This window comes from Homo sapiens, chromosome X (genome assembly GCF_000001405.40).
Source record: "Homo sapiens chromosome X, GRCh38.p14 Primary Assembly".
In the NCBI taxonomy this organism is placed as follows: Eukaryota; Metazoa; Chordata; class Mammalia; order Primates; family Hominidae; genus Homo; species Homo sapiens.
Genome location: NC_000023.11, coordinates 71,429,093 through 71,447,480, shown reverse-complemented (window position 1 = coordinate 71,447,480; position 18,388 = coordinate 71,429,093). Strand labels below are relative to the sequence as shown.

At 39.7% G+C, this 18,388-nt stretch overlaps 1 protein-coding gene and 1 pseudogene across 28 annotated transcripts in view; one reads left to right on the top strand and one right to left on the bottom strand.

The window, feature by feature from the left end:
- Positions 1-18,388, bottom strand: part of TAF1 (TATA-box binding protein associated factor 1) — a 164,169-nt gene that overhangs the window by 83,045 nt on the left and 62,736 nt on the right. For 3 of the 28 annotated variants that reach the window (NR_104391.2, NR_104392.2, NR_104394.2), the window contains exon 33: positions 5,760-5,781. The exons of the other annotated variants lie outside the window; for them this stretch is intronic. The gene's annotated coding sequence lies outside the window, so the exon portion shown is untranslated. The remainder of the gene's footprint in view (positions 1-5,759; positions 5,782-18,388) is intronic. 28 annotated transcript variants of the gene reach the window in all.
- On the top strand, positions 6,837-6,964 carry LOC124905281 (uncharacterized; annotated as a pseudogene).

Below are 18,388 nucleotides of genomic sequence, written 5' to 3'. Positions count from 1 at the left end.
TCTACCTGCCTCGGCCTCCCAAAGTGCTGGGATTACAGGCGTGAGCCACCACGCCCAACCTATTGCTGCTAACTTTCTGAAAAGATTCAGAGAAAAACACCAGTCAAGTTGGCAAGCACCCCTGGGCACCAAGGAGAAGAGGGGATTTGTGATCACTCCTAGGCTCATGTTTCCCTTGAGAACTCTTCCACAAATACTAAAAATAATTCCTCCCTAAGAAAATGAGTACTCTGTCAAAACAGCATAAATTATTATCTTGACAGTGGATGGTGTGAGGATATGCATTTGTTCCAATGTGAACCATTAAAATTAAAAAATAAAAGCTCAGTAGAAGTAGAAAGTTTAAAAAAAAAGATCAGTGCCAGATATAAAAAGAAAAATCTGCATACTAAATTCCTAAAGAAATTAGAATTACTAAATGCAACTACACATAGTCCAGATCCCAAAGAGATGAGCTCTGACTTTGCAATTCTTAGATATTTATCTTCAAACTAGATCCAAAACAAGTGAAAATTAAAGAGAAGTGAATCTAATCTTTCACAATATAGCTAGGCTCCTTACCTTATGTAGAATGAGGATCAAATGTAAATTAGGATGTTTAGTTTCCAAGATTAAGAGGTTCAGTCTCTTAAACCAGAGTAACATAATCTCACTCAGAATCTAAACTAGAAATTCAAGAAGGCAGAAACCATCCAGAGGGAACTGGGGTAATAAATCTCACTGGTCAAGGGCCTATTTGATGAAAAGCCCAAAGACCCTGAAAATGTTTTTATTTTTTCTCAAAAATGAAACACCATTCCATTTAGCAACTTAAAAATATATAAATGAACAGATAGCTTTGGCTAAAAATATATCCTCATTATCTCTACAACTAGAAAAATAAACACTTCAAAACACCTTTTCCTATATAGTAAAATTTATAATACTTCACACCAAATCTAATACTGGCTACTAATGGGATGGTAGGAAGGGAAGAACAAGATTTTTCCTTTTCACTTTATACAATTCTATGCTGTTTCATTTCTTCAATGAACATGTATGTAATTTTTATAAAATTTTAAGTTATATACTCTAATTTTACAGGAATAATTTTTAAAGCATTGATTATTCCCAGCGTTAAAGAGGTTGTAGGGAAACAGATATTTTCCTTCACTGTTATTTTGACTACAAACAGGTATAGCCTTTTGGAACACAATTTCAAAATATCAAGATTTCCTACAGAAATTTTGCACAAGCACACATCAATAAAATATAAAATAGTGAACAACTAGGCCGGGCACAGTGGCTCACACCTGTAATCCCAGCACTTTGGGAGCCTGAGGCAGGTGGGTCACCTGAGGTCAGGAGTTCGGGACCAGCCTGGGAAACATGGGGAAACCCCATCTCTACTAAAAATACAAAAATTGGCCAGGCATGGTGACGCACACCTGTAATCCCAGTTACTTGGGAGGCTGAGGCACAAGAATTGCTTCAATCCGGGAGGCAGAGGTTACAGTGAGCCGAGATCATGCCACTACACTCCAACCTGGGTGACACAGACTTGGTCTCCAAAAAAAAAAAAAAAATAGTGAACAACTGTCTGCAAGCCAGCATTATGGAAATACTTTAAATGCCTATCAATAGGAGAATGGTTAAATAAATTATGATACATACATCCATGCTAAGAAATAAGTTTAAAAGAATGTAGAAATCTATATGTACTAACATGAAAAGAGAATCAGTAAATATGTCAATTCTCTCCAAATTGATCTATGGGTTTTAACACAAGAACCCAAATCCCAGTAAGATGTTTTTGTACATATAGACAAGCCCCTTCTAAATTTAGTGGAATGGTAAAAGAACTAGAAAATAAAACAGTTTTGAAAAAGAGTGAGAGGAATCACTCTACCTGATAGTAAGACTTCTAGAAATAAGCCAACACACTCAACTGATTTTTGATAAAGGTGTACATACAGGGCAATTCAATGGAGGAAGGACAGTTTTTTCAATAAATGACGAAAAACTGGACATCCATAGGCAAAAAAAGTACTTCAACCTATACTTCAAACTGTGCACAAAAAGTAATTAACAACGGATCATGGACTTAAGTGTAAAAGGCTACAACTGTAAAATTTTAGGAAAAAACATAAGAGAAAACCTTTGTGATCTGAACTGGGAAAGACTTTTTTTTTTTTTTTTTTTTGAGATGAGTCTCACTCTGTCGTCCAGGTTGGAGTGCAGTGGCGTGATCTCAACTCACTGCAACCTCCACCTCCCAGGTTCAACCAATTCTCGTGCCTCAGCCTCCTGAGTAGCTAGGATTACAAATGTGCACCACCACACCCACCTAATTTTTTTTTTGTATTTTTAGTAGAGACGGGTTTCACCATGTTGACCAGGCTGGTCTCAAACTCCTGACCTGAAGCAACCCACCCGTCTCGTTCTGCCAACTTCTTAAAGAGATACAAACACTGGGCTGGGCGCAGTGGCTCATGCCTGTAATCCCAGCACATTGGGAGGCTGAGGCGGGCAGATCACGAGGTCAGGAGATTGAGACCATCCTGGCTATGGTGATCCCATCTCTACTAAAAATAGAAAAAATTAGCCGGGTGTGGTGGCGGGCAACTGTAGTCCCAGCTACTCAGGAGGCTGAGGCAGGAGAATGGCATGAACTCGGGAGGCGGAGCTGGCAGTGAGCTGTTCCAGCCTGGGCGACAGAGCGGAGACTCCTTGTCTCAAAAAAAGAAAAAAAAAGAGAGAGAGATACAAACACTGGCCACACCTGGGGACTCAAACACCTGTAATCCCAGGACTTCGCCTTGACCTCCTGGGTCAGCCTTGACCAAAGCCTTGACCTCCCGGGCTCAAGCAATCCTCCCATCTCAGCCTCCCAAGTAGCTGGGACTACGGGCATGCACACCCAAACACAAATTTTAGAAATTTTTTGTAGAGATGGGATCTCACTATATTGCGTAGGCTGGTCTCAAACTGCTGGGTTCAAGCAGTCTTCCCACCTTGGCCTCTGAAAGCACTGGGATTACAGGTGTGAGCCACTGTGCCTAGCCTGAAAGATACTATTAAGGGACTGAAAAAGTAAGGCACAGACTGGGGAGAAAATCTCTGCAAATCATATATGTAATAAAGGTCTTATACCTAGAATACATAAACAACCCTCAAAACCCATTAAGAAAACAGGCCGAGCGAGGTGGCTCACGACTGTAGTCCTAACACTTTGGGAGGCTGAGGAAGGCAGATCACTTGAGGTCAGAAGTTCGAGACCAGTCTGGCCAACATGGCAAAACCCCGTCTCTACTAAAAACACAAAAATTAGCCAGGCGTAATAGCAGGCACCTGTAATCCCGGCTACTTGGGAGGCTGAGGCAGGAAAATCACTCAAACCCGGGAGGCGAAGGTTACAGTGAGCCGAGATTGCGCCACTGTACTCCAGCCTGGGCGACAGAGCAAGACTCCGTCTCAAAAAGAAAACACAGGCTGGGCGTGGTGGGTCATGGCCTGTAATCTCAACACTTTGGGAGGCTGAGGCAGGCAGATCACTGGAATTCAGGCATTCGAAACCAGCCTGGCCAACATGGTGAAACCCCGTCTCTACTAAAAATACAAAAAAATTAGCCGGGCATTGGGGCGGACGCCTATAATCCCAGATTCTCAGGAGGCCGCAGCAGGAGAATCACTTGAACCTGGGAGGCAGAGACTGCAGTGAGCTGAGATCGCGCTCAGCCTGGGTGACAGTGTGAGACTCTGTCTCAAAAACAAAACAAAACAAAACAAACAAAAAAACACACAATTAAAACTAGGCCAAAGACAGGGCACTCAGGCCAGAGAAAGAAATAAAGGATATTCAATTAGGAAAAGAGGAAGTCAAATTGTTCCTGTTTGCAGATGACATGATTGTATATCTAGAAAACCCCATCATCTCAGCCCAAAATCTCCTTAAGCTGATAAGCAACTTCAGCAAAGTCTCAGGATATAAAAATCAATGTGCAAAAATCACAAGCATTCCTATACACCAATAACAGACCAACAGAGAGCCAAATCATGAGTGAACTCCCATTCACAATTACTACAAAGATAATAAAATACCTAGGAATCCAACTTACAAGCGATGTGAAGGACCTCTTCAAGGAGAACTACAAACCACTGCTCAACGAAATAAAAGAGGACACAAACAAATGGAAGAAGATTCCATGCTCATGGATAGGAAGAATCAATATCGTGAAAATGGCCATAGTGCCCAAGGTAATTTACAGATTCAATGCCATCCCCATCAAGCTACTAATGACTTTCTTCACAGAATTGGAAAAAACTACTTCGAAGTTCATATGGAACCAAAAAAGAGCCCACATTGCCAAGACAATCCTAAGCCAAGAGAACAAAGCTGGAGGCATCATGCCACCTGACCTCAAACTATAATACAAGGCTACAGTAACCAAAACAGCATGGTACTGGTACCAAAACAGATACAGACCAATGGAACAGAACAGAGGCCTCAGAAATAATACCACACATCTACAACCATTTGACCTTTGACAAACCTAACAAAAACAAGAAATGGGGAAAGGATTCCCTAATTTAATAAATGGTGCTGGGAAAACTGTCTAGCCGTATGTAGAAAGCTGAAACTGGATCCCTTCCTTACACCTTATACAAAAATTAATTCAAGATGGATTAAAGACTTAAATGTTAGACCTAAAACCATAAAAACCCTAGAAGAAAACCTAGGCATTACCATTCAGGACATAGGCATGGGCAAGGACTTCATGACTAAAACACCAAAACCAATGGCAACAAAAGCCAAAATTGACAAATGAGATCTAATTAAACTTAAGAGCTTCTGCACAGCAAAAGAAACTACCATCAGAGTGAACAGGCAACCTACAGAATGGGAGAAAATTTTTGCAATCTACCCATCTGACAAAGAGCTAATATCCAGAATCTACAAAAAACTTACATTTACAAGAAAAAATCAAACAACCCCATCAAAAAGTGGGCAAATGATATGAACAGACACTTTCAAAAGAAGAAATTCATGCAGCCAACAGACACATGAAAAAATGCTCATCATCACTGGCCATCAGAGAAATGCAAATCAAAACCACAATGAGATACTATCTCATACCAGTTAGAATGGCAATCGTTAAGAAGTCAGGAAACAACAGGTGCTGGAAAGGATGTGGAGAAATAGGAACACTTTTACACTGTTGGTGGGAATGTAAACCAGTTCAATCATTGTGGAAGACAGTGTGGTGATTCCTCAAGGATCTAGAACTAGAAATACCATTTGACCTAGCCATCCCATTACTGGGTATATACTCAAAGGATTATAAATCATGCTGCTATAAAGACACATGCACACATGTTTATTGCGGCACTATTCACAATAGCAAAGACTTGGAACCAACCCAAATGTCCATCGATGATAGACTGGATTAAGAAAATGTGGCACATATACACCATGGAATACTATGCAGCCATAAAAAAGGATGAGTTCATGTCCTTTGTAGGGACATGGATGAAGCTGGAAACCATCATTCTGAGCAAACTATCACAAGGACAGAAAACCAAACACTGCATGTTCTCACTCATAGGTGGGAATTGATCAATGAGAACACCTGGACACAAGGTGGGGAACATCACATACTGGGGCCTGTTGTGGGGTGGGGGGCTGGGGGAGGGATAGCATTAGGAGAAATATCTAATGTAAATGACAAGTTAATGGATGCAGCACACCAACATGGCACATGTATATATATTTAACAAACCTGCACGTTGTGCACATGTACCCTAGAAAAAAAAAAGATACAAAATTATAGCTAGATAGGAGAAATCAGTTCTAGTGTTCTATAGCGCCGTAGAATGACTATAGTTAATAATAATACAATATATAGTTTCAAATAGCTAGAAGGATGTTGCACATTCTCAACACAAAAAAATGATAAACATTTGAGATGGTGGACGTGCTAATTACCCTGATCTGATAACTATAAATTATATGTATGGAAATATAATTATGTGCCCTCAAGAATATGTACAATTGCTATCAATTTAAAAAATTTAAAAACTGTATCATTGAATCCTTAAGACACTAAAGTTAATTTATATAAGAAATTAAAAAAATTTCTTATGCTGTTTTTCAAAAATCATAGCTTTTATGACTTCATATAAATATATCTAAAATAACTATGATATGTTTTTGTAGTCTAATAAAATTTGCACTGAATTCCAAACAATAAAAATAAAAAATAAAAAAAAAACTGGGCCAAAGAAATGAACAGTCACTTCACCAAAGAAAATATACAGATGGGGCTTGGCACCATGGCTTTGGGAGGCTGAGGTGGGAGGATCACTTGAAGCCAGGAGTTCGAGACCAACCTGGCCAACATCATGAAACCCTGTCTCTATTAAAAATACAAAAATTAGCCGGGCATGATGTTGCGTGCCTGTAATCCCTGCTACTCAGGAGGCTGAGGCACAAGAATTGCTTGAACCCAGGAAGGGGAGGTTGCAGTGAGCAAAGATAACAAGAAGAAGAAGAAAGAAGGAAGAAGGGAGAAAGAAGGAGAAAGAAGAAGGGAGGAGGAGAAGACACAGATGGCACATGAAAAGATGCCCAACATCATTAGCCATTAGAAAAACACAATGTATTTGAGGAAATAATTTTAAGACCGAGAGCAAGAAAATGTTTTTAATTTAAAAAAAGAAAAATGCCAAGTAAAATCACAATAGAAGAACAGCTAAAATTTTAAAAAGTGGTAACAGTGAATGCTGCAGAGAAACTGGATCACATACATTGCTGGTGGGAATGTAAAATGGTACAGACACTCCAAAAGTGTGGCACAATCTTTTTGTAGTTCATAAGCTTATGATGACGTAAGTGTGACGACATTGGGTTTTCACGTTCATGTGTGAGATGTGCCTCCCTCAAGCCTTATTACAATGCCAGTACATTTTTTTTCCACATCTGATGTGGAAAAAAAAAAAATGAAATAGTGCCGTGTCTTGTAAAACTAAACATATACCATTCTATTCTTGGGCATTTATCCCAAAGAAATGAAAAATTAAACTCATCCAAAACCCTGTCTATGATTGCTCACAGCAGCTTTACTCACAATGGCAAAATAGTGAAAATCTGAATGTCCTTCAATGAGTAAATGTTTGAACAAACGCTGGTACAACCACACAATGGAACACTCAACAATTTAAAAAATGAACTACTGATACAACAATTTAGATGGACCTCAAGGGAATTATGCTTTGCGAAAAAAGTCAATCTCAAATGGTTACATATTATACTATTCCATTTATATAACATGCTCAAATGTCAAAACTATAGAGATGGAGAACGGATAAGTGGAACAGGAACAGTGGTGGGTGTGGTGGTGGGCATGTGTGTGTGGGGGGTGCAGATACAAAGAACAGGGAGTTCCTTTATGGTAACAGTTCTAAGTCTTGATTGTGGTGGTGGTTACAGGAACATATATATGGCACGAAATTGCACACACTTATGCACAAATGAATAGATTTTTAAAATGGTGAAAACTAAGTTTTGTAATTTATTTAAAAGTAATGTACCAATATAAATTTCCTGGTTTTGATACTGAAGTACAGCTATGTAAGATATTGCCATTGAAGGAAGCTGAGTGAGAAGCCCACAGGACTCTGTACCATTTCTTGCAACTTCCTGAATCTATAATTATCTCAAAATAAAAAGGATCAGAATACATTCATGAGCAAAAAAGAGCAAATTACAGAATAAAACAAAAACTTGAAAACCTACATGTAATTTTCTTTTTGACTGCTCTTGCGGAACAGGGCTACCCTATAGGCAGTGTGCTGAGAGCAGCGTAATAAGTAAACACGTTTTGTCTAAGCATAGAAAAAAGTACCTAAGACTATAGACCAAGCTGTTATCTCTGGGGAAATGAAAATATGGGAGACAGGAGTGGGAGGGCAGGCAGAGGCTTTAACTTTTAATTTTATGTATTTCTAGATTATTTGATCTTTTTATAAGAGATTTTGCTTTTTTGTTTTTTAAAAGGTCTACCTGACAGAAATGTAGATGATAGGTTAGAAGGAGATAAATGTAAAGGCTGGGACATTCACCAGGCGACTAGGCAAAATGTAATGTGAACTTTAGTGACATACTGGATGTTGGAACTTATTCAAAGTGAAGAATTAAAAAAAAAGAGTTTCCTAGACGTAGCTACTGGGTAATGTTAATGCCCCATTAAACCCAGATTGGAAATTGTAAATGAGTGATTCAAGTAAAGAAGGAGAGAGGGAGAAAGTTGGAATAAGGAAGGATAGGAGGAAACAATAATACATTCAGCTTGAGGTATGTTTTAAGTTCCATTGAGACATCCAAGAGGAAATGTTTGGCAAGTGGCTTTGTCTACAATAGAGTCATCAGGAAAAGAGGTGGCAACTGAAGTTACAGGAGTGGGCAGAACATTCAGCAAAGGAGATTAAAAAGGAATAGTTTAAGAGGTGGGAGGAAAATAAGGGCTTTTTTATTTTTGGAGTCTTGCTCTGTCACCCAGGCTGAAGTGCCGTGTCATGATCTTGGCTCACTGCAACCTCTGCCTCCCAGGTTCAAGTGATTCTCCTGCCTCAGCCTCCCAAGAACGCTGAGTGCATTCTCATACCACGTGCCACCACGCCTGGCTAATTTTTTTGTATTTTTAGTGAAGACGGGGTTTCACCATGTTGGCCAGGCTGCTCTCGAACTCCTGACCTCAGGTGATCCACCCATCTCGGCCTCCCCCGGCCAGAGCTAAAAATTGTCATGGAAGCCAATCACAATACTGTTGTGAGGAAAGAATGGTCAATGATGTCAAATACTAGGGTGAGGTCAAGATAAGGACAGAAAAGTGCCCACTATATCTGATAATTATGTGATCCTGTTTACTTGGTAGACTGGACAGGGTGGAAGCCAGCTTAAAGCTAAGCGAGGCATTACTGGAAGACAAAGAAAATAGTGAGAGACGTTACATATTCATAAAAGAAGTCTGGCTGTCATAAAAAAGAATGAAACTCTGATACATGCTACAACATGGATGAACCTTGAAAACATGGTAAGTAAAACAAACCAGACACAAAAGGAAGAATATTGTATATAATGTATGATTTACTTATATGACATACCTAGAATAGGCAATTTCATAGAGATAGAAACTAGAATAGAGGTTACCAGGAGCTGGGAAGAAGGGGAGTTACCATGTAAGGGGTATAGAGTTTCTGTTTGGAATAATAAGAAAGTTCTGGAAATACACAGTGGTAATGGTTGCACTACACTGTGATTGAACTTAATGCCACTGATTTGTACACTTAAAAATAGTTAAAATGACGGCTGGGCATGATGGCTCATACCTGTAATCCCAGCACTTTGGAAGGCTGAGGGGAGGTGGATCACCTGAGGTCAGGAGTTTGAGACCAACCTGGCCAACTTGGTGAAACCCCGTCTCTACTAAAAATACAAAAATTACCCGGGCGTGGTGGTGCACGCCTGTAATCCCAGCTACTCTGGAGGCTGAGGCAGGAGAAACGTTTGAATCCAGGAAGCGGAGGTTGCAGTAAGCCAAGATCGCGCCACTGCACTCCAGCCTAGGAAACAGAATGAGACTCCGTCTCAAAAAAAAAAAAAAAAAAAGTTAAAATGACAAATTTTTATATTATGTATATTTTCCATAATAAAAAAGTCTGTATGGAAAGAGAAAGAGACAAGATGGCAGCAAGAGACCCAAGCAGGATCGGGGGAAGTTTTTCTTCTCTTCAATGACATGAAGGACTTAACTTTCATATGGAAATATTTCTCTTTTTCTTTTTTTTTTTTTTGGAGACAGAGTCTCATTCTGTCGCCCAGGCTGGGGTACAGTGGCACGATCTCAGCTCCAGGTGCATGTCACCAGCACCAGTCCCGGCTAATTTTTGTATTTTTAGTAGAGATGGGGTTTCACCATGTTGGCCAGGCTGGTCTTGAACTCCTGGCCTCAAGTGATCCACCCGCCTCAGCCTCCCAAAGTGCTGGGATTACTGTTGTGAGCCACCAAGCCTGGTCAGAAATACTTATACCTTGGGTCCCAATCACTGATGGAAAAAAAAGACCCTTATTATTCATGAGTGGCCAAACTTACAGAGTAGTACCCTCATAACAAAGACTTAGAAACTAGTATTATGGAAATACTTTAAGCATTATATTTAACCTATGAACAATACTGAATCATCTATTCATATTCTTCAAATTGAAACCTTTAGACTTAATAACCAGTTAGGAAAAAAAGAGTACAAGCACAATGGCAGCAAAGCTTTTAAATTTTATATTGAATATCGACAATGAAAAATAAATAAACAAAATAAAAACTTTTAAATTACCTAGGAATAAACTCGACAATGAGAAATTCAAAAGCAACAAAAACTATCAAATTAAATAAATTAAACAAAACATGCCTAGAAACTGTATGAAGAAAACTAGAAGCCATTATTGGGGGACATAAAAGAAAATGTGAATAAATGAAGAAACATAAGCTCCCAGGAGGAAAAATGGAGAATTATAAAGATATACAGTTTCTCCAAATTAATCTATAAATTAAATAAGGTCTCAATCATGTTTATTTATTCGAGGACAAGGTAGAATCTAACAAAAATGACCTTAGAGTTTATTTAGGATAATTAGGCAAGCACAGTCAAGGAATTTAAAATTTTAAAGCCTTTGTGATAAAACAATTATCTGGTGATAATAGCACCAGACTAGACAAATAGATCAATGAAGCAGAATAGAAAGCTCTCAAATAGGTTCAAGAATATATAAGAATTTAGTATATTATAAAGGTAGCATTTTGGCCAGGTGCATTGGCTTATGCCTGTAATCCCAGCACTTAAGGAGGCTGAGGCAGGTGGACCATTTGAGCCCAGGAGTCCGAGACCAGCCTGGGCAACATGGTGAAACCCCATCTCTACAAAAAAACACAAAAATTAGGCCAGGCGCGGTGGCTCATGCCTGTAAACACTTTGGGAGGCCGAGGCAGGCGGATCACGAGGTCAGGAGATAGAGACCATCCTGGCTAACATGGTGAAACCCCGTCTCTACTAAAAATATAAAAAATTAGCCGGGCGTTGTGGCGGTCACCTGTAGTCCCAGCTACTTGGGAGGCTGAGGCAGGAGAATGGCATGAAACTGGGAGGTGGAGCTTGCAGTGAGCCGAGATCGCGCCACTGCACTCCAGCCTGGGTGACAGAGCAAGACTCTGTCTCAAAAAAAAAAAAAAAAAAATTAGCCGGGCTTGGAGATGTGTGCCTGTAGTCCCAGCTTCTTGGGAGGCTGAGGTGGGAGGACAGCTTGAGCCCAGGAGGTGGAGGCTGCAATGACCCATGATCACACTACTGTACTCCAGCCTGGGCAACAGAGCAAGACCTTGTTTCAAAAAAAAAAAAAAAAAAAAAAAAAAAGGAGGTAGCATTTCAATTAGTAGGAAAGGTTAGACTGTTCCATAAATGGGACTTGGGCACTTTGGCTAGTCATTTGGGAAAGAAAGTTAAATATTTACCTTCTACTTCAGATTTTATTCTAAAAAGTAGATAAACATTTAGATATTTAAAATATTGTATGTATTAGAAGAAAATATGGTTTGCTATCTTGGGGGTAGGGAAGATCTTTTGAACAGTTATAATACCAAAAATAAGAATCATATAGGAAAAGACTGATAAATACAAATGTATGCATATGAAGTTTCCGTATGTCAGAAATACCATAAAACTAAACATTAAAAGACTTTCTGGGCATGATAGAATAAATGCTATTGGATTAGTCCTCCTACTATAACCAGAAAACTAGAAAAAAACAAATGAAACAACTGTTTTCAGACACTGAGCAACTAGTAGTATAAGATTGTATGATCCTTGTAAGAAGGAAAGGGAAATGAAGTGAGCCCTACAATTGTCCCTGGCTTTCTGCTGAAGGCAAGCCAATTATAGCAGTCTTCCTGAGCTCTGGAGACATACTGGAGTCTGAGGAGGTTAAGACAGCTGGAAATTGCAAGGCACAACTGGAGAAGAGGGTGCTCCATAGAAAAATAACAAGATCTGCAAGGGTTCCCTTTAGTCTTTGGCTGAATAACTACTAAGCTGCACAGGCATAGGATGAGACTCCAGAATGTCAGGCAAAGGTCCTATAACCTGAACAACTATCAGAGCCCACAAAAGGTTGGGAGATACTCAAAAGTTGGGGACAAGGGGAGATTTCTGTTTTTCTTTGTAAATTTATATCTAGATTGTGGGGTCCAACTGAGCATTCTAAAACTTCGGGCTCTCAGGTTTCATGACACATGTTCTACCTATGTCCATCCCAAAGATGGCTTCTTACTGGAGTTGATTTTGGTTTTAAGAGCACTAGAGGAGAAACTTGCTATGAAATCTTTGGGAAAGAGGAATCTCATCATGACTAGCTCAGCATCACCTATTGGTTCAGACTATGTAGCTCATTTCAAATGAGATCAGGCACATTTAGGGTGATATAGCCACAGATTGTGTAGCTCATTTCAAATTTAACTAAACATTAAGTAGTAAGGCCTCTGCCAATTTTGTTAAGTCTGGCAAAAAGTTTGGGTTGTATTTTTCAGAAGGGACTTATCTGTATGACTCTCTCCTTTAACTGTTGCGGTCCTTTTGGGACTGGTGCAAATAACTCCAACCACTTAAAGTTGTGGGCTTTCCTGATTATTAATGTTCTTTTCAAATGCTATTTAAACATGAACAGAGGTTCTGAGACTGATCTAGTACTTACGTGGCAGCTGGAAGGTACAATGGCATAACTCTATAATTAGCGTACAGTCCACTGTCATCACTTAAGGACAAGACTAATTCCTCTGATACATGCCGTTTATGTCCAGATGTGTTTTATATGGAGTGTTACTTATCTTCTGGTTTTTGCCTAATGACCCTAATCTTAGTGCTAAGTATTCTGGCTATATACAATATAGTTCACGGGCTAAATATGTGACTAATAAAGGGTAAGTCAAAGAAGTCAGTGTAAAATGTTATAGAAATATGCTCATATGCAGTATATTATGTGTGAAGGATCTGAATATGCAGAGTCAAAATAATGTTAACTAGAGATATCATTCTACTAATTTAGATTAACTTTAATACTAACAAAATTTTACAAAATAAAAATTTTAAAGTAGAGAATAAAGTCCACATGGACTTTGTTACTATTTTTATTTTTTGTTTTTTGAGACAGGCTCAGCAACAGGCACACACTGCCATGCCCAGCTAATTTAAAAAATTTTTTTAGAGACAGGGTCTCTTGCCGGGGCTGATCTTGAACTTCTGGCCTCAAGAGATCCTCCTGCCTTGGCCTCCCAAAGCATTAGGATTACAGGAGTGAGCCGCTGCACCCAGCCTGGACTTTGTTACTATTAATTAAAAACAGAGGCAGGATCATATTATATGGCTGAACCAACAACGTTTTAAACAGAAATATTATTTCGTGTATATCGCCTGATAGTAGGAAATATTTCATGTGCCTTTCACTCCTCAATGTCTTTATGGTGTCTTTCTAGATGTCACCATTTCATATCACATGGCACCACTAACCCTTATAACCCTATTCAGAAGTTTCCTATTCTCTCATCCACTGGTTAAGGAGGGGGGAAAGTCAGCCTTCTAGGCTGTCCACTGCTACTACCCAGACATTATTTACTTCTTCTTGGGGAGAAAAAAAAAAATCTCTCCTACTCTAAGGCCTGTTTTTTACTATGCCAGAGGTTGAAGACTTGGAGCCAGATTTGGCCTGCAGATAGATGTTTTTATTTGGCCAAAGGAGTAAAAAAATATTTAAACTCTTTGCAAATACGTAAAAATTTGAGAAATCACATAAAAAGTCCAGATTTTCAGCTTCTCTTGAAAAATTCAGTTATCTAGCAACACTGGATACTCATTTCCTTAGGACAACAATCAGAAGAAGGACATGCTGCTTTAGATGGAATATGCACTTTTCTAGTTTAGCACAATCCCACCTAGCCCACCTTAGTCATTTACATTACTTGCCTGGCCCCTGCAGGACACTTGAGTTTGAAATCTGTGTTCTTCACCTTTAGTCACCATTATTAACTGATTCTCATTCACAAAGACTTATGCACCTGGCACAATCATTCTCTCGGCTCCAAATCTTTCCCATCATAGTGAGTTACCTTATTGTTCACATGTACAACCTATCCAAATCCCTGCAAATCTTTGTGCCAATAGTTTGCACCTTTGCTCCAGCCAAACACATCCATGGCTATACCCAGAATGCTATCTACTGAAAACTGCTTCACCTCTGGAACTTTCAACTCCAAATATTCTACTTTCTTATCACAGCCTTGTATCTGTCCAGTTTTTTCATTCTCTTTCTTTTACTTCAAGAAAACTGCCAGGCCCATTAATTTCTATCTCTCAACATATTAAGCCTCTCCTGGCATTACTTTAATGTATAATCAGCCCCATGTTTTAAAAACTAGGTAATGCAGAAGGATATACCAAACTAAGCTATGGGATCATTGTTGTATAACTTCCTGAATCAGCAATTTTACTTGAAGATTGGAGAGGGGATATAAAGTAATTTGGTAAGAAATTTGAAGCAAGTTAAAGTACAGATAAGCCTAACGGAAAATTTGCACACATTTTTAAGATAAAACACAAATTGCCAAAGAAATTTCAAACTTTTGTGGAGCTGCTCTGAGATATTCCCCCAAACTGGAGACTATATAGTCACAATCCTCTGCAATAAAGCGTCACTAAAGAGTGACAAGGTTTGAGATGCCCGAACTTCAATAATTTTTTTTTTTGCTAATACCCTCAATTCCCAATCTTTCCAGCACATCCACAAAACAAAATCTCAATCCTGAATCAATTTTATCACCTGCCTTCTCAGTTTCCTAACTTGATTTGATGAGCACTGACAAAAATTACAGAACTGTGCCAACTGATACTGCCAAAAAAAAAAAAAAGTCTCCATCTTCAGCTGGACCTTCAAAAGTTGCTCAACAGCGTTCTTCTGAAATGTCCCTAATCAGCTCCTTTTCCAATTTCCCACAAAAATAATTCGCTTATTGATATTTTTCTTCAAATTCCTTCTCCCACTTTAATCTCAGCAAAAAAATATGCTGTTTCCTACTTTACAGAGAAATAAGATGTTAAAACTTTCTCAATGTCTATCTTCCCACCTCCATAGGCATTTCATATCCTTAATTTTCTTCTCTTTGACCTATACGAAGTTCTCCTCTGCCCAACTGCCTTCATCCCCTCAACATATTGTCTACTTCCTTCCTCCCTTCACAATCAACTCTCAATCTCTACTTTCTTACTTCCCATTCATTCACAACCCCTACAGTCTGGCTTTTTATCCTACCACTTCAATAACCATCCTCTAATAACTTCTAATAACCATCCTCTTTGGTCTTCTCTCTAACACCTGACCTGTTGGTAATTTTCCCTCTTTGAAGTCCTCTTCTCTTGGTTTGCAGTATATTATTCTCTCCTAGTTTTTCTTCTTTCATTCTGGCCACTCCTTCATATTTTTTTTTTTTTTTTTTGAGACGGAGTCTCACTCTGTCACCAGACTGGAGTACAGCAGTGCAATCTCGGCTCACTGCAACCTCCACCTCCCGGATTCAAGTGATTCTCCTGCCTCAGCCTCCGGAGTAGCTGGGACTACCGGTGCATGCCACCATGCCCAGCTAATTTTTTGTATTTTTAATAGAGGCAGCGTTTCACTATGTTGGCCAGGATGGTCTCGATCTCTTGACCTCATGATCCACCAGCCTCGGCCTCCCAAAGTGCTGGGATTACAGGCGTGAGCCACCATCCCAGGCCTCACCTGTTATCTTAAATATTGGAATTTGTCAGGTCTATTCTTATCCCACATCCTCTAAACAGTGACTCTTATGTTTTTTGGGGTCACACACTTTGACAATCTGATAAAATCTATGGTCTTTCTACTCAGTAAAATATACAATCATATTTTACATACAACATCAGAGGGTTCAAGGAATGTACCCTACTCCCTATTTGAGCTCATCTACTTATATTTTTATATGCTGATAATCTGAAAAGTAACCATATTTATAGTATAAATTCTCTTCTGAGGCCAGGTGCAAAAGCTCACGCCTATAATCCCAGCACTTTGAGAAGCCGAGGGAGGTGGAGCATTTGAGGTCAGGAGTTTGAGACCAGCCTGGCCAACACGGTGAAACCCCGTCTCTGCTAAAAATACAAAAATTAGCTGGGTGTGGTGACATGTGCCTGTAATCCCAGCTACTTGGGAGGCTGAGGCAGGCAAATCACTTGAACCTGGGCGGCGAAGGTTGCCATGGGCTGAGATAGGCAAATCACTTGAACCTGGGCGGCGAAGGTTGCCATGGGCTGAGATCGCACCACTGCACTCCAGCCTGGGCGACAGAGCAAGATTCTGTCTCAAAAAAAAAAAAAAAAAAAAAAAAAAAAATTCTTCTGAGCTTTGGACCTGTACACAGCTAACTACCTATTAAAAGTCTTCACTTAGATGTCCCACCCCAATACAACATAGCAAGTTGAACTCTGCTATCTTTTCTCCAAACCACTCTTCCTGTATTTCCCATATTAGTCAATGGCACCACCTGTTGCCCAAGTCAGAATTTTGGAGGTCATTTGATTTATTCATCCTTCCAAAAACGGAAATTTCTCTTAATTTCAAAAGTACTATGTGCTCACTAAAAAATTCAAATACCTAAGTACAAACAAGTCTAAAGTAAAAACTATTCTCCATTTCTCCCTTTGGTAATTCAATTCCATGGCAACAACTGAGCTAAATAGTGACTGACTCCTAGATGGGATACATGCTCACCAGTTCATTGGCCCCCACAACATAGCCCATTTCACTCATTTATATTACCTGTCCTTAGAATCCAAATTTGTGACCCTCTTTTTTAAATACTGTTGAGTAATATGGTTCTCAATAATGCAATTTGAGTATCTTTTCATATGAGCATATACAGATACACCTAATTTGTTAGCTAAGTCTACCATTTTGATAGCTTAGCAGTATTTCATCATATAGATGTGCCTTTTTTTTTTTTTTTTTTTTGTGAGACGGAGTCTCGCTCTGTTGCCCAGGCTGGAGTGCAGTAGCACGATCTCGGCTCACAGCAAGCTCGGCCTCCCGGGTTCCTCCCGCCATTGTCCTGCCTCAGCCTCCCGAGTAGCTGGGACTACAGGTGCTCGCCACCACGCCCGGCTAATTTTTTATATTTTTAGTAGAGACGGGGTTTCACCTGTGTTAGCCAGGATGATCTCAATCTCCTGACCTCGTGATCCGCCCACCTCAGCCTCCCAAAGTGCTGGGATTACAGGCGTGAGCCACCGTGCCCGGCCTAGATGTGCCATTTTTTAAACAATTTCCTATTGTTGGATATTTAGAATACTCCATGTTTTTGCAATTACAAGCAATGCTGCAAAGAACATTTGTACATGTACCTTTATAAACTTGTGTGGAGTAGTCCCTAGAAGTGAAGTTTCTTAGCCAATGGAAATGAACATTTATAGTCCTCTAAAACGTTTGTACTAATTTATGTTTCCACCAAGAGCATGAGTGCTTGATACCACCTTAAAATCTCTATCCTTTACCCGTGCCCCCAACTTCTAACCATTTATGAAATATCAATTCTACCTCCTAAGTATCTCTACACCCCATCTTCATTTTTTTACTCTTATTGATACTGACCTTAGTTCAGGCCGTCAGTATTTTTAACTGGGAATGCTGTCAATAGTTTCTTTACCGGTCTCTGTCTTATTCTCCTCCTCCAATCCATTCTTCAGATGGGTTTCAGAATGATACATTCAGGTACTAGTACCTGATATGTCCCTTTCTCCTTCTAAAGGTTTGGTGTTAACATACTAGGCGTTTCATGATTTGGCCCCTCTACCTTTAAAATCTCGTATCTCACTACCAAACGTAATTCCACCATGCATCCTAGTCATATTTAACTACCAGCACACTTCCCTATCCAAGGCACCTTCATCTACTTTTGCATTTGTGCTATCTGCCAGGAACTTCTCCCCCACCATTTTCCACTTGACTATTTCCTTGGCACAGTAGGTGCTCAATAAGTAGTTATTATCATCATCATTCTTCAAAACTCAGTTCAAAAGTCACTTCTTCTTAGGAGAGTTCCCTGCTTCCTTCTGCTTTTTTTTTTGAGACAGAGTCTTGCTCTGTCGCCCAGGCTGGAGTGCAGTGATGCGATCTCAGCTCACTGCAAGCTCCGCCTCCCAGGTTCACACCATTCTCCTGCCTCAGCCTCCCGAGTAGCTGGGACTACAGGCGCCCGCCACCACGCCCGGCTAATTTTTTGTATTTTTAGTAGAGACGGGGTTTCAC